The sequence below is a fragment of the Homo sapiens genome, chromosome 12 (genome assembly GCF_000001405.40).
Source record: "Homo sapiens chromosome 12, GRCh38.p14 Primary Assembly".
In the NCBI taxonomy this organism is placed as follows: Eukaryota; Metazoa; Chordata; class Mammalia; order Primates; family Hominidae; genus Homo; species Homo sapiens.
In genome coordinates, this window is record NC_000012.12 from 6,310,292 (window position 1) to 6,328,737 (window position 18,446).

The 18,446-nt window shown below is 55.9% G+C and overlaps 1 protein-coding gene across 17 annotated transcripts, besides 8 other annotated features; it reads left to right on the plus strand.

Moving 5' to 3' along the window:
• PLEKHG6 (pleckstrin homology and RhoGEF domain containing G6) lies at nt 41–18,215 on the plus strand. 17 transcript variants are annotated; one of them, NR_169278.1, is made up of 17 exons: nt 391–557; nt 1,868–2,073; nt 3,338–3,493; nt 4,714–4,878; nt 5,263–5,358; nt 5,578–5,628; nt 5,964–6,113; nt 7,012–7,122; nt 7,256–7,405; nt 7,566–7,703; nt 8,010–8,129; nt 8,454–8,586; nt 8,702–8,817; nt 9,280–9,382; nt 16,137–16,282; nt 16,963–17,655; nt 17,845–18,215. NR_169278.1 is itself a non-coding variant. In NM_018173.4 (16 exons), the coding sequence occupies exons 2-16, from the start codon at nt 1,936–1,938 to the stop codon at nt 17,852–17,854; spliced, it is 2,373 nt and encodes a 790-aa protein (NP_060643.2). In that variant the 5' UTR covers nt 41–224; nt 1,868–1,935; the 3' UTR covers nt 17,855–18,215. The 17 variants fall into 17 exon arrangements, 15 of the variants coding, with proteins under 15 accessions (NP_060643.2, XP_047285025.1, XP_047285026.1 ...); NR_169277.1 differs by having other exon boundaries at nt 3,382–3,493; NM_018173.4 differs by lacking the exons at nt 391–557; nt 9,280–9,382 and adding an exon at nt 41–224.
• Nucleotides 288–337: a silencer, noted in NCBI's record as "silent region_4159". NCBI's record gives its function as "represses an Ori minimal core promoter by ATAC-STARR-seq in GM12878 lymphoblastoid cells {active_cell/tissue: GM12878}" and the evidence as "EXISTENCE:reporter gene assay evidence [ECO:0000049][PMID:35858748]".
• Nucleotides 2,547–2,856: an enhancer, noted in NCBI's record as "active region_5844". NCBI's record gives its function as "activates an Ori minimal core promoter by ATAC-STARR-seq in GM12878 lymphoblastoid cells {active_cell/tissue: GM12878}" and the evidence as "EXISTENCE:reporter gene assay evidence [ECO:0000049][PMID:35858748]".
• Nucleotides 8,380–8,999: an enhancer, noted in NCBI's record as "H3K4me1 hESC enhancer chr12:6427837-6428456 (GRCh37/hg19 assembly coordinates)". NCBI's record gives its function as "activates a minimal SCP1, AML or CMV promoter by ChIP-STARR-seq in naive H9 embryonic stem cells {active_cell/tissue: H9 hESC(naive)}" and the evidence as "EXISTENCE:reporter gene assay evidence [ECO:0000049][PMID:30033119]".
• Nucleotides 12,641–13,182: an enhancer, noted in NCBI's record as "NANOG-H3K27ac-H3K4me1 hESC enhancer chr12:6432098-6432639 (GRCh37/hg19 assembly coordinates)". NCBI's record gives its function as "activates a minimal SCP1, AML or CMV promoter by ChIP-STARR-seq in primed H9 embryonic stem cells {active_cell/tissue: H9 hESC(primed)}" and the evidence as "EXISTENCE:reporter gene assay evidence [ECO:0000049][PMID:30033119]".
• Nucleotides 13,071–13,140: an enhancer, noted in NCBI's record as "active region_5845". NCBI's record gives its function as "activates an Ori minimal core promoter by ATAC-STARR-seq in GM12878 lymphoblastoid cells {active_cell/tissue: GM12878}" and the evidence as "EXISTENCE:reporter gene assay evidence [ECO:0000049][PMID:35858748]".
• Nucleotides 13,191–13,280: an enhancer, noted in NCBI's record as "active region_5846". NCBI's record gives its function as "activates an Ori minimal core promoter by ATAC-STARR-seq in GM12878 lymphoblastoid cells {active_cell/tissue: GM12878}" and the evidence as "EXISTENCE:reporter gene assay evidence [ECO:0000049][PMID:35858748]".
• Nucleotides 13,724–14,265: an enhancer, noted in NCBI's record as "H3K27ac-H3K4me1 hESC enhancer chr12:6433181-6433722 (GRCh37/hg19 assembly coordinates)". NCBI's record gives its function as "activates a minimal SCP1, AML or CMV promoter by ChIP-STARR-seq in primed H9 embryonic stem cells {active_cell/tissue: H9 hESC(primed)}" and the evidence as "EXISTENCE:reporter gene assay evidence [ECO:0000049][PMID:30033119]".
• Nucleotides 14,266–14,805: an enhancer, noted in NCBI's record as "H3K27ac-H3K4me1 hESC enhancer chr12:6433723-6434262 (GRCh37/hg19 assembly coordinates)". NCBI's record gives its function as "activates a minimal SCP1, AML or CMV promoter by ChIP-STARR-seq in primed H9 embryonic stem cells {active_cell/tissue: H9 hESC(primed)}" and the evidence as "EXISTENCE:reporter gene assay evidence [ECO:0000049][PMID:30033119]".

The following is an 18,446-nucleotide window of genomic DNA, read 5'->3' on the forward strand; positions in this document are numbered from 1 at the left end:
TAGGGGTCTAGGCCGAGGCAGGGGGAGGACCGGACGGCCGGCCACTCGCCGCGACCAGCAGGAGAGAGGGGTGCCTGCCACAGGTTGTCACCCTCGCCGCCTCCCCCGGCGGCGCCCCGCCCCTTACTCAGCCCTCATTACTGCAGCGCCTCGCGGGGGTCTGGCCCGGAGTGGAGGGCGCGCGGTCCCAGCCCTCCCGCTCGGCCGGCGGGTGTCGAGTTCAGGTGCGACCGAAAAGGGGAAAGGAGGGCACCGCCACGTGAGCTGTCCTCTCCGGGGAAGGCGGTGGCTGCGTGAGGGCGGGGGCTGCTCGGTCCCCAGGGCCCCGCCCCTCTGCCCCTCTGCCCCGAGCGGTGCTGGCGGTAGGGAGGGGCCAGCCCGGTCCCCGCCCTCCTCGCCCGGACCCGCGCTGCCCGGCTCCCGCGGGCCGCTCGATCCCAGTCCCAGGCTGGGCATCGGGGCTGGCTGGCATCGCCGGGGAGCCGACGGCGACGGGGAGCCCCGCGGGCGGGGAGGGCGGCGCAGGGCAGCGGGTGCGGTGACACCTGTGGGCACAGGTGAGCGGCGGGAGGGCTACGCGGCCCGGGGGCGGGGCGGCCGGGACCCGGGGCCTGGAAGCCGGGGCGAAGGGGAAGGAAGGCCTGGCCTCCCGAAGGCGGGAGGAGGGGAGCCGGGGGCTGGGCTGAGACAGGACCCTGGGTAGGGAGCAGTGCGAGGGAGACAGCGCCCTCAGAGGGAGGACTATTGGGAGGCGGCAGGAGGGACAGCGAACGTTTCCTCCTCTGCTCCTGAATCGGAGGAAGGTAAGGGAGGGCTGAGGCAGGACCTCAGGCCCACCCGGTCGGGGCACAAACACCTGCGCAGCCTTCTTGAGCCCACCGCCCCTTAGGAGGCCTCTCCTCTTCCAGGCCCTGCCCACTCGAGGGCGGGCCCTCCCTCCAGGTTTAGGGGGGAGGGATGGAGCCCCACGCCTGGCCCCCAGCTCCATGGTGGTATTCCCAGAGTCTGGGGAGGACCAAATATATAGCCCGAAACTGGAGAAACTCTAATTCTATTTGGCTGGTCTCTAAGGGCAGTGGCCGGACAGCTGGCCCCACTCACCTCCCTGTCTGTGGTCAGGAGGGTTCAGGTAGGAGATGGGCAAGCCTTTCAGTAAAGGCCAGACAGTAAAGATTAGAGACTTCGCGGCCTACACCGTCTGTCCCAACTAGCAAGAAGCAGTCACAGGTTATTAGGAGACCAGCAGAAGAGGATGGATTCCAACAAAACTGTGTTTATGGACACTGAATTTGAATATCATGTAATATTTACTTGTCCCAAAATATTGGTGGCTTTTTTGCAGGGGGGGCAGCAGTTGTTTCAACTATGTAAATATGTAAAGGCTTACAGGCTGTACAAAAACTGGTGGCAGACTGGGCTGTCTCCAGCCACCCCCACTCCCAGCCCACCCCACCCACCATGGCCTCCCTCCAGCTTTTTCCCAAGCTTTATATGGGGAAGGGGATGGGGTTATATCTAGGTGCAAGGAGAACCCTCCCACCTGGGTGTATCCAGAAAGCCCGAGACCTGTCTGTGACCCTTGTTCCCATTTGAGACCAGTGCAGGAGCTTGTACCCCAAATATGCACACATGTGAGAGAGGAGGTACATCTCCAAGGGGCTTCCTACCCAATATGTACCTGGACCTACCCTACTCCCACCAAGTCATAGATGAGGCAGCCATGTTCCCCCCAACAAGTGACCAAGCCCTTGGCCCTCTCCTCCCCCACTATACCCTCCCTCCCAGGCCCCCTACCAGCCTTGGTCTCCCGCCTGGTGCCATTCACTGATTGGGGATGGCCCTTCCATTCCTCTTTTCTCTCTTGCAGCCCTAGGGGACCTCTTTCTCCTGGACATTGAAGATATGGCCCTTTGGAGGTGACCCAGGAGAGAAGGGATGAAGGCCTTTGGTCCTCCACATGAGGGCCCCCTCCAAGGACTCGTGGCCTCCCGCATTGAGACTTATGGGGGCCGGCATCGAGCCTCTGCTCAGAGCACTGCTGGCAGACTCTATCCCCGAGGATACCCTGTGCTGGTGAGTCCAGGCTGTGCCCCAAAAGTGACCTGGTGGGGCAGGAGGGAAGACACCTAGGCTGTGGAGTCTCTGTCCCCTTACAGGTTCAGAGGTTGAGCTATTCCTGCCCCTTACCCTACTCTTCTTTCCTGGGTTGCGGGAAAGAGGAGGGCAGTGACAGGGCCAGGCTCCAGGGATATCACACCCCAGTCCCAGCAGCTGGGCAGGAGAGGCGGAGCCAGGAGAAGCCAGGCCCTCCGAGGAGTGCTGTTAGACAGGTCTCAGACAAAGAGCTGCGGGTAAGGTCATCAAACCCCAGAGCTGGCGCCTCCCAGGCTCCCGCCTCTGCTTGGCAGGAGTTTGAGGCCTTCCTGAGATCTGCCTCTCCCTGAGTCAGGATGAAGATGAGCAAAGGTTCAGGGTGTCCCTACTCCTCCAGTGGTGGGTAGGGACAGGAGGGTGCCTGCCTTGGCTCCACCCCTGGCTCCACCTGCCTGGCTCTCCTCCAGTCCTAACCAAGCAGAGGGGTGTGGAAGCCAGGTCTGTCCCTCAGCCTGCAGGTTTCCCCTCCACCTTGAGGACAGTTCTGCTTGTGGCTGGGACATCCCCTGCCTCAATGCACGATAATTTTGCCTTTGGAGATGGGACTTTCCTAGGCTGTGGGTGAGAAGGGAGACTAGAAAGTATGTGGGGTAATTCAGGCCACAGGCAAATGAAGGAATGTGACCAGGCCTGCCCTGGGAGGAGCTGTGTGGCTGTGGCTTCAGCCTTTCACACAGAAGGGCAGCCACTCCCAGCTGGATGGGATGCAGGCTGCACGCCCCTGGGGAGAAGGCTGCACATGTGAGTGCCCTCGTCCCCATGTGTGAGGGAGGCTGGTCATAGACAAGGAGAGTTACGAGAGACCAGAATGCTGTGTGCACCACGCCTTGTCCATGCACCCCCCATGGTACGGAGAGCAGGAGGCAGTGGGGGCACACACACCAGAGCCCAGGCATGTGTGTGCTGTGCACCTGCTCGGCAGGAGGCCCCACTTCTTCCCCAGGCCCACTCAGGGAGCCAGGCTGTCTTGCCTCTGCCCACTCAGCTTAGCCTTGCCGGCAGTGGCCGCTGTGACTCAGGGCAGGAGCAGTCCACACCAAACTGGTTTGCAGGGAGAAGTGAGCCAGCCCGACTTACCAGGGTGGGGGAACAACATCTAGAGCCAAGCCTGCCCCCCTACTACCTCTCTGGGGTTTCTGGGGAAAGGGAGGCACCCCCAGAACTTCCCCTGCTCCTCTCCCAGGATCCCAGTCGCCGACGCCTCCAGCAGTATGTCCCCTTTGCCAGGGGTTCTGGCCAGGCCCGAGGCCTGTCACCCATGAGACTGCGAGATCCAGAGCCCGAGAAGAGGCACGGGGGCCATGTGGGGGCTGGCCTGCTTCACTCCCCCAAACTCAAGGTAAGGGGGTCCCTCTCCTCCCATCCCCACACATACGGCCCCAATTGTGATGGCTCCGCAGATGACCAGCAAGCTCCGGGAGCTGAGAACACAGGTCCAGGAGGCTGCTGCCTGCCAGTCAGACATGGCTCTGCCTAGGACCTCTCAGGGATATATCTCTCTTTGGTCCATGCATGGCAACCAGGGACTTTGACTTGAGACACTTTGATTAAATGTGGATAAACGATTGATATTGAGCTTTCAGTTTTTGAAAACTACCAAGTCAAATTACCAAGTTGCTGAGAGTCAGGTATGCTCTCTCTATCCTCAGTGCCACATCATCCTTCACTGCCACTGTGAGCCTCACCTCTCCTCCCAAGCCACATCCAGATGGAGTGAGTGAGGGTCAGGAGTGTCTATTGCTCACATTCTTGGTACCAAAGAAACCTGTAAAATGGGCCGGGCGTGGTGGCTCACACCTGTAATCCCAGCACTTTGGGAGGCCAAGACGGGCGGATCACCTGAGGTCAGGAGTTCGAAACCAGCCTGGCCAACATGGTGAAACCCCGTCTCTGCTAAAAATGTAAAAAAAAATTAGCTGGGTGTCATGGCGGGCACCTGTAGTCCCAGCTATTAAGGAGGCTGAAGCAGGAGAATCGCTTGAACCCGGTAGGTGGAGGTTGCAGTGAGCCGAGATTGCGCCACTGCACTCCAGCCTGGGTGACAAGAGCAAAACTCTGTCTCAAAAGGAAAAAAAAAAGAAACCTGTAAAATGTAAGCCATGCTGCTTCATAAAAAATGCCATTTTATAGGCAAATGTCAAAGTGGTGCCTGAGACCACTGGTTCTCTAAGTCTTGTTCTGATTCACTTGAAGGTCCCTCTGAAGTGTCTGTTTCTGTCCCTCCCCCACCTCATTCTGATTCAGGAGACCCATGGAAGGCCTCTTTCCTGTCAGGGAGCCTAGATCAGACCCCTCTCCAGGGACCTTTCCACAGACCAGGGTGCCTCTTCACCCACATTCCAGCAATGCCTTTTTCCCTGGAATTCCAGCTGGGGCCGACCCCTGTTCTCTAGGCCTCCATGTCCCCACTCATACTCAGTGCTGCTTGCCATCTCCCATTCCAGACACAGACACACGCACACACTTTAACACACATGCACACACACACAGCCCTCCCGGGGCCCTGTGGCTGGGTGCCAAGGATGTGACCAGAGCTGATGCCCTTCTCGGCTCCCCCAGGAACTCACCAAGGCCCATGAGCTGGAGGTGAGGCTGCACACTTTCAGCATGTTTGGGATGCCCCGGCTGCCCCCTGAGGACCGGCGGCACTGGGAGATAGGAGAGGGTGGCGACAGTGGCCTGACCATCGAGAAGTCCTGGAGGGAGCTGGTGCCTGGGCACAAGGTGAGCCTGAAACTCACAAGGTGAGTCTGTCCCCACGGCGTGAATGCACACACAGATTCTGCTCTAGAGGAGGGAAAGGCCTTGGGAAGTGGGGTCATGTGGAAAAAACATCTGGAAACGCGTTGATCTGGGTTCAGATCCCAGCTCTGCCACTTACTAGTCAGACCTTGGTCAAGACAGTAAAGTTCTCTGGGCCTCAGTTGCCACATATGTAAAGTGGGGATAATACCACCTACACATCAGAGCACTGGTTTGAGGATTAAAAGGTCATGGTCATGCACAAAGTGCCTAGAACCTATGAAGTGGATCCGGTCGCACTTAACAGCTGGTACTTGCCATTCTAATTATCATTCCCCAACTGAACCAGCATTCTCCCCACCCCAGGAGATGAGCCAGGAGCTCTGCCACCAACAGGAGGCCCTGTGGGAGCTCCTGACCACCGAGCTGATCTACGTGAGAAAGCTCAAGATCATGACTGATGTGAGCCCCCCTCAGCCCCAGCCCCGGCCCCATCTTCCCTGCATGAGCCCCCATCCTCCCAGACTGGAAGGCAGGTCACTGGGGGAGGGAGGGGCAGGATTTCAGGCCAGTCTGGGATGCAGGGAGATAGGTCAGCAGTACTGAAGTTGGTGGGGGGTGGGAGGTGACGACACTGAAGGGCTGCGCTGGGTCCTGAGACCCTCGTCTCCCTCCCTGCAGCTGCTAGCCGCCGGCCTGCTGAACCTGCAGCGAGTGGGACTGCTGATGGAAGTGAGTGGGTGCTCAGGAGGGGACCCTGGCACAGCCCGACCTCTGAGCCTGGGGATGAGGGTGGGCCCTCCAGCCATCCCTGTCTGAATTCCCACTGCCCCGTTTTTTGGGATGCCTTGCCCTCCCTACTTCCCTGTTACTGGGGACTCCAAGCAGGCCACAGGCCCCCCATTTCTCAGACTGACATCCTTGAGATCTTCCAGGCCCAGTGCCCAGTTCATCCTTCTTCACCCCCGCCCCTGCTGTCCAAGCTTAAGGTCCTCACCTTTCCTCAGCCAGTGCCACCCCTGGGGACCTTCCAAAAGTGTGCTGCTCAGCTCTGCTCCCTCCTCCAGGTGTCAGCTGAGACCCTGTTTGGAAATGTCCCCAGCCTGATTCGAACCCACCGGAGCTTTTGGGATGAGGTGCTGGGGCCCACCCTGGAGGAGACTCGGGCCTCGGGCCAGCCTCTGGACCCCATTGGTCTGCAAAGTGGCTTCCTGACGGTGAGGCCTGTGAAGGGCTGTGTCTGGATGGGGCAGGACTCGGAGCCCTCGGGGGTCCTGTGTGTAGGGCATGCCCACAGTATGCAAATCTCTGTGATTTGAGGGGCCGCAGGACACAGCCCCTACCCCTAATATCACCTCACCTCCTCCCTTCATGCCACAAGTCTGACCTCTGTGCCACAGGCTCCTTGTTCTTCTGGAGGCCTTTATGAAATGAAAATGCAGCTGTCTCAGAGAAGGGTCACACCTTGGCTCCCATCAACTACAAAAGCTGGGTGCAGCAAATGAGGCCTAAGTGAGGGGACCCTTAGGAGGACCTGGGTGGGTGTAAAAGGCCACAGGAGGCACCCGGGGCACGGAGAAGAGTGACAAGAGAAAGCAAGAGGGCCTAGGATCCGACTTTCTTCTACAATGTTACCTAGCCAGGAAAATGTGGGCCCTGCAGGAAAAAGTTGCAGTGGGGTAGAGAGGTAGGCGTACTGCCCCTGGGAGCCTTAGGTACCCCCTCCATAGGAGCAAGGCTTCTGAGCCAACTCTTAGGTCGCCACCCCACCCCCAGGGTGAAATGGGATCTGCAATGTCCTGACAACGGTCCAGCTGAATTATCGATGGTGGGAGAGTAAGTCCAGAGCAGCAGGCCCCAGTAGCACTGTGGATAGAGGGAGCTCAGAGAGCTCTGGGTCAGTGTCGGGACCTCAGGCTCCTTCGTGGAATCCAGAGAAAGGGGCGTAGCCTCGAGAGCATTCCTGGGAGGATCCTGGGAGGGAGGGACTGTCAGGAGCTGGGCTAAGGGCCCCTGCGAGGCTCTCTTCACCTGCTCCTGGGTCCTGCAGCTAGAGCCTGTATTCATGGCCTTCTCCCCATGCCTGCTCCCCACCTCCCGTATCTGTCTCTCCAGTTTGGCCAGCGGTTCCACCCCTATGTCCAGTACTGCCTCCGAGTGAAGCAGACCATGGCTTACGCCCGAGAACAGCAAGAAACTAACCCTCTCTTCCATGCCTTCGTGCAGGTGGGAGAAGGGGTGCTGGGGAGGGGGACGGGTGCATCTTAGCCGGCCGGTCTCCAGCTGAGCCTGAGGCTGAGTTCACCACTAGGCAGGGCAGGAGGGAGCAAACCCTGAGCCCCACCCACCTTCCCTGCAGTGGTGTGAGAAGCACAAGCGCTCTGGGAGGCAGATGCTCTGTGACTTGCTTATCAAGCCCCACCAGCGCATCACCAAGTACCCACTGCTGCTCCATGCTGTGCTCAAGAGGAGCCCCGAGGCACGAGCCCAAGAGGCCCTGAATGCCATGGTAGGTGCCCCAGTGGGGCTGGGACTCTGGTGAATCGGGGACTGGGAGGGGGGTCTCTTTCTTAGTGTGTCTGTGACAGTGTGGCGCTGTGCTGTGGCTGGCATTGGTTGGGAGGGGACGGCTGAGCCGTCCCTCCTCCCACACCCCCAACCCCACCTAGATTGAAGCCGTGGAGTCATTCCTGCGACACATCAATGGGCAGGTCCGCCAGGGCGAAGAGCAAGAGAGCTTGGCGGCTGCAGCACAACGCATCGGGCCCTACGAGGTGCTGGAGCCACCCAGTGATGAGGTGGAGAAGGTGAGAGGGCAAAGGGAAGGGACCCAGGAAAAGCAAGGTCCCAGGGATACTGGTGAAGGGGAGGGCTGCAAGGCCAGAACACCCCGTACTTGGGTGCTACAAGGGTGTCCATCATTCCTACCTGGTGGTGACAGTCCAAGGGGTACAGGTCAGAAGAGCAAAAAGGAGGCCCTGGGAGGCTTTCTCTAGCCCATGGGGGAAGGATACAAACAGAAAGGTGTTGGTGGCAGAACCAGGAGCCGCCCTTGGCCAGGAAGTCCAGGCAGACTGCCGAGCGCCCTGACCCCTCCCCTCTGTGTCCCTCAGAACCTGCGCCCATTCTCCACCCTGGACCTGACGTCCCCCATGCTGGGGGTTGCATCTGAGCACACCAGACAGCTGCTGCTGGAGGGGCCTGTGCGAGTGAAGGAGGGACGAGAAGGGAAGGTGAGGGTGCTGCGGACAGAGTGGAGGGGATGGGGCACGGTGGGAGAAGGTAAGAGGCAGAAACGCCGGAAGTGGGAGAAGAGGGGTTTGGGGAAGAGGATGTGGTTCTGGCTAAGCCCCAGTCATTTGTGTGACCCTGAGCCAGCCACTTTGCCTGCCTGTAAAGTGAGAGATGTGACCAAAGCGACGCCCCTGGCCACTCCCGCATTTGGGCTCTGCGTGTGTCCCTGTGTGCCTGCGCACCATGCCTGAGCCTCCTCCCGGACCAGCCCTGCCCCTGGCTCCAGCTGACCCTGTCTCTTTCCCCTACGCCCCCACCCCCAGCTGGACGTGTACCTGTTCCTCTTCTCTGATGTGCTCCTTGTGACCAAGCCCCAGCGCAAGGCGGACAAAGCCAAGGTCATCCGACCCCCTCTCATGCTGGAGAAGCTCGTGTGCCAACCCCTGCGAGACCCCAGTACGTCCTTCCTTCAGGGAGTCTTTTCTTCTCCCTCTTCTCAGCGAGGGGAAGGAGGAGCTGGGACGGAGATCAAATAAAGGCTGGCCTCTTGAAGGTTGTCTCCTCCATCCAGACAGCTTCCTGCTGATCCACCTCACTGAATTCCAGTGTGTCTCCAGCGCCCTCCTTGTGCACTGTCCCAGTCCTACAGACCGTGCCCAGTGGCTGGAGAAGACCCAGCAGGCCCAGGTATGGGAAAGCCAGCAACGGGGAGGCATGGGCAGGGGTCCCCGGAGCTCAGAAATGGGAGCACAGTGGTGGATCACACCTGTAATCTCAGCACTTTGGGAGGCTGAGGCAGGTGGATCACCTGAGGTCAGGAGTTTGAGACCAGCCTGGCCAACATGGTGAAACCCCGTCTCTACTAAAAATACAAAAATTAGCCGGGCGTGGTGGTGTGTGCCTGTAGTCCCCATTACTTGGGAGGCTGAGGCAGGAGAATCACTTGAGCCCGGGAAGTGGAGGTTGCAGTGACCTGAGATCGTGCCACTGCACTCTAGCCTGGGTGACAGAGTGAGACCCTGAAGAAGAAGGAAAAAAAAAAGAATGTAGGAAGGAAGGAAGGAACGAATGAACATGGGAGCGCAGAGGGGAGGAGGAGAGAGGCTGGGGTGGATTCAGTTTCAGACTGGACAATCTGATGTGCCCCAGAGAGGGAGGCAGAGCCTCCACCATCCATCAGAAGACAGAAAAAGCCTTTGGCCAGCTACTGTGCCAGCCACTGGGAGAGCCCAAGATACAGCATCCCCTGAAGGTTTGTACAGCCTGAAATGATTAACTTCTAGAAGTCATCTTCCATTCGCAGACATTTACAGGGCACTTGCTGAGTACGGCAGGCACTAGAGCTAGGTGCTAGGGAATCAGAAAAGAGTAAACCACCATTCCTGCCCTCAAGGCCTAGGTGCTGCAGCCTGGTTGAGTAATTAGTATACAAACAATAGAGAGAAGTTATGTAGAATGAAGCTGGGACAGAGAAGGGAGCAAGGCATTGTCTGCTGGGTCTGTTTGGAAGGGACACAGAGGAGCTGATGTCTGAGCACCATTTGGGAGGATACCTAGGAGTATGTCAGGGAGTCAGGGTGGAAGGGAAGGGCATTCCACATGGAGGAGCAGAACGTGCAAAGGCGGGAACTGTGAAACAGTTGTGTGTGTTGAGAGAACTGCCCCCATTGGTATTGCTACAGTATCAAGTACAAGAGTAGACGCAGCAGGGAGAGGCTAGGGGGTAGGTGCCACCAGGTCATGCCCATCTCTGCATGTCATGATAAAGCATCCTATAGATGAGCTTTGTCCTTTGGATGACAGAGGGCCAGTGAAGGAGTCGGGCAGGGGAGTGATGTGAGCAGATAAAAAGCAGGAGGAGTTCAAAAGAAGAGAGATGCAAATGGAGCTGTATTAGGTCCCACAAACTTGGTGGCCTAAAATGCATCAGAAGCTTACTCTCTCACAGTTCTGGAGGCCAGAAGTTTCAAATCAAGGTGTTGGCAGAGCTGAGTTTCCTCTGGAGGCTCTAGAGGAGAATCCATCCTTGCCTCTTCCAGCTCCTGGTTGCCCCAGGCGTTCCGTGGCTTGTGGTAACAAAATTCCAAACTCTTTCTCTGTCTTCCCATGGCCTTCCTCTCTGTATGTCTCTGTGTCCAAATTTCCCCCTCCTTTCTCTTACAAAGATGTGAGTATTAGATTTCGAGCCCACCCTAAATCCAGGGAGAACTCATCTTGAGCTCTTAGGATCTCTGCAAATCTGCGAAGACTCTTTTTCGAAATCAGGTCACATTCACAGGTTCCAGAGGGTAGGACTTAGATATATCTATCTTTTGGGGGGGCCACTATTCAACCCACCACAGGAACGGAATGGCCAAAGAGAAGTGAAGATTTGAGTTAGACTTTTAAGGATAGGAAGACCATGAGCAGCAGAATCAGAGGACCAGCTGGGCTGGATATATTTCTGGAATGACGGCCATATCTGCCTAAGTATGGAGCACAGTGTTTGTGTGAGTGCGTGGTAAGAGGCCAGATTCTGCAGAATCTCAGAGCTGCAGAACCCTGTGGCCTGGATGCGCTTGAGTTAAATAGGGTCAACAAGAGACAGCCACCGTGAATTCTTTTTTTTTTTCTTTTGAGACAGAGTCTTACTCCATCACCCAGGCTAGAGTGCAGTGGCATGATCACAGCTCACTGCCGCCTCAACTTCCTGGGCTCAAGTGAGTCTCCCAGCTTAGCCTCCCAAGTAGCTGGGACTGCAGGTGTGTACCACCACACCTGGCTAATTTTTTGCATCTTTTTGTGGAGACAGGGTCTTTCCATGTTGTCCAGGCTGGTCTTGAACTCCTGAGCTTAAGCAATCTGCATATCTCGGCCTCCCAAAGTGCTGAGATTACAGGCGTGAGCCACCGTGCATAGCCCTGCCATGAATTCTTGAGCAAGGGTGAAATCAGTGTGTTTCCTCTTGAATTAGGTTTTCAGGAAATCAGGTAGCAGTGTGCTGGGTGGGCTGGAGGAGGGAGAAATTGGTGACAGGAGGTTTATTGTACTAGTTTGGGTGTGAAACATGGAAGGTTTAGTGCCACAGCCTTAGGGAGACATTGCAAAAAGGGACAAAAAACAAAGGAGAAGAAAGGACCTAAAGAAGAGGGAAGAGGCCGGGCGCGGTGGCTCACGCCTGTAATCCCAGCACTTTGGGAGGCCGAGGCGGGCCGATCACGAGGTCAGGAGATTGAGACCACGGTGAAACCCCATCTCTACTAAAAAAGACAAAAAATTAGCCGGGCGCGGTGGCGGGCACCTGTAGTCCCAGCTACTCGGGAGGCTGAGGCAGGAGAATGGCGTGAACCCGGGAGGCGGAGCTTGCAGTGAGCCGAGATCGCGCCACTGCACTCCAGCCTGGGCGACAGAGCGAGACTCTGTCTTAAAAAAAAAAAAAAAAGAAGAGGGAAGAGAAGGGGGAGCCTTAGGGATACTTTGGTTAAAGTCTATACTGAATTCAGAAAAATCCAGGTTCAGACACCGGTCCTACCAGGTCCTAGCCATGTGACCTTGGGTAAGTTATATGACCTCCCTCAACTTCAATTTCGTCATCTGCAAAACAGATATACACAATGACTACCTGCTTCCTAGGGAGATTCAAAGCTGTCATTCGGCTTAGGCACACAGCCTGGGGCCAGCACTGGGCACAGGCTCAGGAACTCCAGATACCCAGCGGCAAAGAGCACAGTTGGCCTCCCGAAGCTTCAGTTTGGAACACTGCATTGGCAATGGGACCCCAGACAGAAATGCAGTCATTAGAAAGGGAAAGGGAAATGTGTTTGTTTAGTTATTGCTTCCTCAGTGAGGTGGCTTTACTGTAGGAATATTTAAACAGCAGCGCTTTGAAATTGAGGCAGCCAAGATATAACCTAGTGGAGATATCTTAGGGGCTTTGGGAACAAAAGAAACAGAAACAAAGACCTGGAATTCAAGTGAAAGAGGAGGACAAAAAACACACCCCAAGGGGAGGCAGGTGGGTTTTGTGATGACAGTGGTCTCCCATCTGCCCTGTCCCCTGCTTCCGGCTCGGTTCACTGTCCCCTCTGCATGGCAGGGACTTCTCTCCACCACTTCCACCTAAGCCTAAACACACTTTCCACTAGGCTGGACTGACTGGCAAGTGACATCATTCTGGTGGTTAATCAAATTTTCTTGGCCAGGCGTAGTGGCTCACCTCCTCTAATCCCAGCACTTTGAGAGGCTGAGGCAGGCAGATGGCTTGAGACCAGAAGTTCAAGACCCAGCCTGGCCAACATGGCAAAACCCCATCTTTACAAAAAATACAAAAATTAGCTGGGCCTGGTGGCGCATGCCTGTAGTCCCAGCTACTCGGGAGGCTGAGGTGGGAGGATCACTTGAACCCGGGAGATAGAGCCTGCGGTGAGCTATGTTCCCACCACTGCACTACAACCCAGACAACAGGGTGAGACCTTGTCTAAAAAAAAAAAAAGTTAAATAAAACATTTTCCTGAAGGCTAGAGGCTCAAGGGGGAGCCCAGGGACAAAAGCGCAAGCTAGTGGCATCGGTGTCCCTAGAGCCCCAACTCCCCAGGATAGCCAGTGGGGCTGGCAGTGAATGGCAGGCTGCCTTTTTTCCTTCGGAACTGCCACCTCCACCTTCAGAACTTTCTCCTCTTTTTTTTGGTTTTTAGTCACAGAACAACAGCCAGACTCTCACCTTCTCCCTTTCAGAATCCCAAGAGCTACTGAAAATTACGGGTATTTTACTATGCAAAACAACTCAGTCCCCTGGTAGTCTCACTCCAGGCTAACAGGAAAGATCTGTCAAGATCTATAACCAAGATATGCACCAAGGCTCCCTGGCCTTCCTTAGCAAAACAAAGAAAACTGAAACTTTGAAATGACTTTTCCTGCTATTGTCTCACACCAGATTATTAGGGAATCCTCTCTAGAGCCATCAGTCTTTATACACTGAAGAGGGCAGTAGAAACTCTGTTGGTCCCTTTCATAGAGCAATCCCCAGGGGGCAGACTATTGTTTTCTCACCCTGGCAGAAACGTTGACTTGCAGATTTATTCCTAGCGGGTCTAGCTGTGATGACTCACACTTTTAGAGAAAGTAAGCTTCTCCAGGGAGAAGAGACTGAATCTTGGGGAATGCCCAGGGACTGAGAAGAGGAAAAGGAACAGAGACAGGAACAGAAAGAGCCGTCAGAGATGGCGACCAAGAAATTAAAGCAGGGAGACTGAAGGAGGCAGCCGAGGCTAAGAGCCAGGGTCTGAAGGAGAGGCCCGAGCAGCTGTCAGGGAGTTACTTCACCTCTTGGGGAGTTGCAGTGCACGCAGGACAGACAGTCCGCAAGTGGCCAGGCACAAGGCCCAGCACTGTATGGGCACTCCATAAATGTTTGCCGTTGTCATCATTAGAAGAAAGGGGTGGTCTTTGGGGCCTGGGTAGGGCCTGCTGCTGACTGGGGAAACGCATCCGCATCTGTTGCTCAGGAAGTCAGTGGGCACGTTTCAGAGTTCGGTTTTAGTCCGGCACTGGGGAGTTCTGGGAGGAGAGTGGGTGAATCTAGGAGCCACCCCAGAGACAGCAGGGAAAGGAGGCATTTCCTCTCCATGGGTACAAAGGAAGAAGAATCCTGCTAGGGGCCCTCCCTTCCTCTTCTCAGTTTTGTAGGGGGGTCACATTCTGGCTTAAGCGCCAATTTCCTTTTCCTTTCCCGTCCCCTCTGCCCCCATGTGTCTCTCCTCTTAACCAAGCCGAGAAAATTCTCCCAGGGTTGCTGGAGAGGCTTTGGGCTCGCTGGGAGGCACCTCCAAGAGCCCCATCCCGCCCATTCCCCCGACCCCCTACCCCGTACTCGGGGCTCCCCCTCGCCCCCCTCCCCCCCCCGCCGCCTCCTCCAGCCTCTTCCTGGGGTCGGGCAAGGGGCAAGTTTAGCAGAGATGATGGCATTGAACGTCCCTTACAGAAACCCTGCTTCCTTCCAGTTCTTCTTTCCCGTAACATCCCTTCCTTGGCACCCGAAACACAAACCTGAATTTGGGTCCTGTGGGGCAAAAGGGCACCCCAGCAGGACAAGCAGATCGGCCCAGCGCCTCCACCCTCTCTTTTCTCACTTCTTCCCTCCCTTCACATGGAGTTGGGAGATGAGGCCTGGGAAAGAGGGAGTCCTGCCCCAGGTCCCGGCCCTGGCAGGTTTCCTACCCCCAGGTACCCTCCCCTGCTCCGGCCAACAGACCACATCTTATGAGAATGCTGTCAGCCTTGGGAATAAGTGACTGGAGAGCCAGAAAAAGCAGAATGGGAACTATAAGCCTGGTGTCATTTTCCTATCCCTGTTCATCCATTTCGTCTCTTGTCCTGACCCAGCTGCTCCCCGGGTTTCTTGAGAGGCTTTGGGAAAGTCCAGGTGCCCAGGAGTTGCTGGCTCATATACTTCAAGCTGGGGAGATAGTGGAAATATTTAACAATTAGTATAGCATGGGCATCAACCAATCAGAAAGGAGCGCTGCACTAGAGGTCCTCTGCTGTGCCAGAGGTTATCTCCCTTAGTTGCTAGATCATGGGGATGGGGGAAGTGGTTGAGGCCCAGGCAGCAGCCATTCCCTTACCAGCATGGAAGACTTCAATATTTTAACAAGGATATGGCCATACCAGCAAGTCCTGATATCAGTGCTGCCCACAGCAGCCACCAGTACCTCCCTTTTGCCAAGGCTTGCCTCCGCCTCCAACCTCAGCTCTGCCACCTTCTCTTCCCTCTCCCTCCCCCTCCCCCTCCCCAAGCCAACAACCGACCTTCTGTAACTCTTTACCCTTCAAGGCTGTCCTTGAAAGTGTTGCAGTGACTGAACTAGGACTCAAAGAGCAAGGCCCTGTCCCAGCTCTGCTTCTCCATACCTGTGGCACCTTGAGCAAGTCACTTCACCTCTCTAGGTCTAGGTTTCTTGTCTGTAAAATGGGCTAACATTCATGTTCTCCACACCACAGGGCAATGATGTGTATCAAATGACCACATGTGCAAAAGTGCTTTGAAAATTTTTTCTCAGGTGGCGCTATTTCCTTTTGATGGTACCTGTATGAAATCGCTGAGGGAGGGAGAAGGCAGATAATATAATGCGTCCTCTCCTCAGCCTTCTAGGAACTTTCCTCCCTCTGAAGGACAGCAGAGTCCTCAGCCTGGGACAAAGCCCACCTCTGCCCACGTTCTGCCCTCCTGCTCCTCCCAGCTTCAGGGCAGAGGCCCAGGTGGTAGGAGAGGGATGCTCTTGAAGGAGCAACCAGTACCAATTCAGAACACTTATTCTACCATCACCACCAACCAGGGAGGGCTTCCTGAAGGAGGGGGAAGACCTGATAACAGGTCTGCCAATGGGACATGAGAAGCAGGAAGACCTGTACAGGTAGGAAAAGGGCCATTCTGTTCACCCCACTCACCCCCAACACTAGCTCCAGAGTTTGGTGCCACCAAATCCCGGCACCACCCCACTTTCTTATGGTAAGAAGTACCCCCTCAGACAGTTACTTAACCTTAGAGTCTCCATGTCTCAGTAGTAAGGTGGGGTAAAAATATCTGGTTCATGGGGTTTTTGTAAAGATTAAATAAGGTAATGTAGGCCGGGCACGGTGGCTTACACGTCTAATTCCAGCACTTTGGGAGGCCAAGGGGGGTGGATCACAAGGTCAGGAGTTTGAGACCAGCCTGGCCAAGATGGTGAAACCCCATCTCTACTAAAAATACAAAAATTAGCCGGGCACGTTGGCGGGCGCCTGTAATCCCAGCTACTAAGGAGGCTGAGGCAGGAGAATCGCTTGAACCCAGGAGGTGGAGGTTGCAGTGAGCCAAGATTGTGGCACTGCACTCTAGTCTGGGTGACAGAGCAAGACTCAGTCTCAAAAAATAATAATAATAATAAAATAAAATAAGGTAATATATGTAACGCACTTAGCAGGGTGCCTGGCAAACAGCAAGTGCTCAATAAATGAGAGCTCTTAATAACGAAAGTGTCCTGTCCCAGGCCGCCCTACAGAAGCTGAAGGCAGAGGAGTATGTTCAACAGAAGAGGGAGCTCCTGACCCTCTATCGGGACCAGGACAGGGAGTCCCCCAGCACCAGGCCCTCCACGCCTTCCCTGGAGGGCTCTCAGAGCAGCGCAGAGGGGAGGTAAGGCTCACACGGACTACAAGGTCTCCCCGAGCAGGAGGAGGGAGCCATAAGGCTGAGAAATGGCATTACTGCACATTTTTGGTGGAATTGGGAATAGATAGAGGAACGCAGGCGTAGGGCAGGGTAGGGAAGCTCGGTACCAGCTGTGTTGGGTCGGAAGGTTGGTACCAGCCGTGTTGGGTTGGAGGTGGGGGATAGGGCACAGACAGCCTACAGAGTTAGCCTGCCTAGAGTCACACAGGAGCACTGTGAGAGGAGCAAGCTCGAGAGTGAAGGTAGGTGTGGATCTGCAGAATATTAGAGCTGCCAAATCCCCGGGGAGTGTGAGGTTCGTCTAGGATAGCACCACTGCTTGGCAGCAGCTTAAGGAGAAAAGAAGAATCGATCATTGAGGATAATATCAGGTAAGTTCAGGAACCACTCAGCAAAAACCTGACTACCCACTCGATACAAGATCCTGGACCAGATGCTATGGATAAAACAGTATAGAGGCAGCCCGTACTCTCTTAGGAGCTTAAAATCTAGCCAGCCAGATGAGAAAAACAATCACAGTGCGATGGAAAGATGATACCAAAATAAGTTTGGAGGAGGGGCCATTTCTGGATGTAGTGATCAAGGGAAACTCCCTGGACTTGAACTTGACCCCTACGCATCTGACTCTTTGCCATTAACTGTAGGACTCCTGAGTTCTCGACCATTATCCCCCACCTGGTGGTGACAGAAGACACAGATGAAGATGCTCCCCTTGTGCCAGATGATACCTCAGACTCTGGCTACGGCACTTTGATCCCAGGCACCCCCACGGGGTCCCGCTCCCCACTGAGCCGTCTACGCCAAAGAGCCCTTCGGCGGGACCCTCGCCTCACCTTCTCCACCCTGGAACTCCGGGACATCCCTCTGCGTCCCCACCCTCCCGACCCCCAAGCTCCTCAACGCCGAAGCGCCCCCGAACTGCCGGAAGGAATCCTAAAAGGAGGCAGTCTTCCCCAGGAAGACCCACCAACCTGGTCTGAGGAAGAAGATGGGGCCTCCGAGCGAGGGAATGTGGTGGTGGAAACACTCCACAGGGCCCGGCTTCGGGGCCAGCTTCCCTCCTCCCCAACCCATGCTGACTCTGCCGGGGAAAGCCCCTGGGAGTCCTCAGGGGAGGAGGAAGAAGAGGGGCCTCTGTTCCTGAAAGCTGGCCACACATCCCTGCGCCCAATGCGGGCTGAGGACATGCTCAGAGAGATCCGGGAGGAGCTGGCCAGCCAAAGGATTGAGGGGGCCGAGGAGCCCCGGGACAGCAGGCCACGGAAGCTGACTCGGGCCCAGCTGCAGAGGATGCGGGGGCCCCACATCATTCAGCTGGACACCCCTCTGTCCGCATCGTAAGTGCTGGAGGGAAGCTGGCCTGGGAGGGGGCAGACGGGGATGTCTGTATGGTGGTGGGGTGTAGTATAGAAAGAGGGCAAAGCAGGAACAGGGGCTGAGGCAGGAAGGGCTCTCCGCCTCACTCTTCACCTGACCCTCACCCGTTGCCACTGAATGTCGCCTAACACCCCCTCCTGTCTTTTCAGAGAGGTATGAGGAATGCAGAGGACCTTTGGCATGCATCTCTCCCAGAGGAGATCTCTCCCCAGTAGTGCTGGTCACCCTCCGGCATCTGTGACTCTACCTCAAGGACCACATTTCCCAAAGGAAGCCTGGCCCAGGCACCCTGCCTCCTGCTCTGTTTGGGGATCAAGAACTGTAAATTTATGTATCATAGGTGCACCTGAGCCCCACAGAAAGTTGTGCATAAAAATGACTGCCCTGGCTGGGCATGGCTGCCTGTAATCCCAGCACTTTGGGAGGCTGAGGTGGGAGGATCCCTTGAGCCCAGGAGTTCCAGACCAGCCTGGGCAATATAGGGAAACCCTGTCTTTACAAAAAAAAATTTTAAAAATTACCCAGGTGTGGTGGTGTGCCTGTGTCCGGAGGCTGAGGCGGGAGGACCCCATGAGCCCAAGGGTTGGAGGCTGCAGTGAGCGCACTCCAGCTTGGGCAACAGATGACGGTGTTCAGAACAAGAACCTGCTACTCCTCTGTCACTTGGCGTGATGGTGATGGGCTACCTGGCCCTAGTGCAGGGCTTTTCCCATCTCACCCCTCAGGATCTGGGCCTCTGCCCCCACCTCCC

Coding starts and splice junctions, on each gene's coding strand:
- PLEKHG6 (NM_001384604.1), top strand. CDS start 1,936: ATGAAGGCCTTTGGTCCTCCACATGAGGGCCCCCTCCAAGGACTCGTG. Junction 2,074..3,337: donor CCCGAGGATACCCTGTGCTG/GTGAGTCCAGGC, acceptor CTCCTCTCCCAG/GATCCCAGTCGCCGACGCCT. Junction 7,704..8,009: donor CCAGTGATGAGGTGGAGAAG/GTGAGAGGGCAA, acceptor TGTGTCCCTCAG/AACCTGCGCCCATTCTCCAC.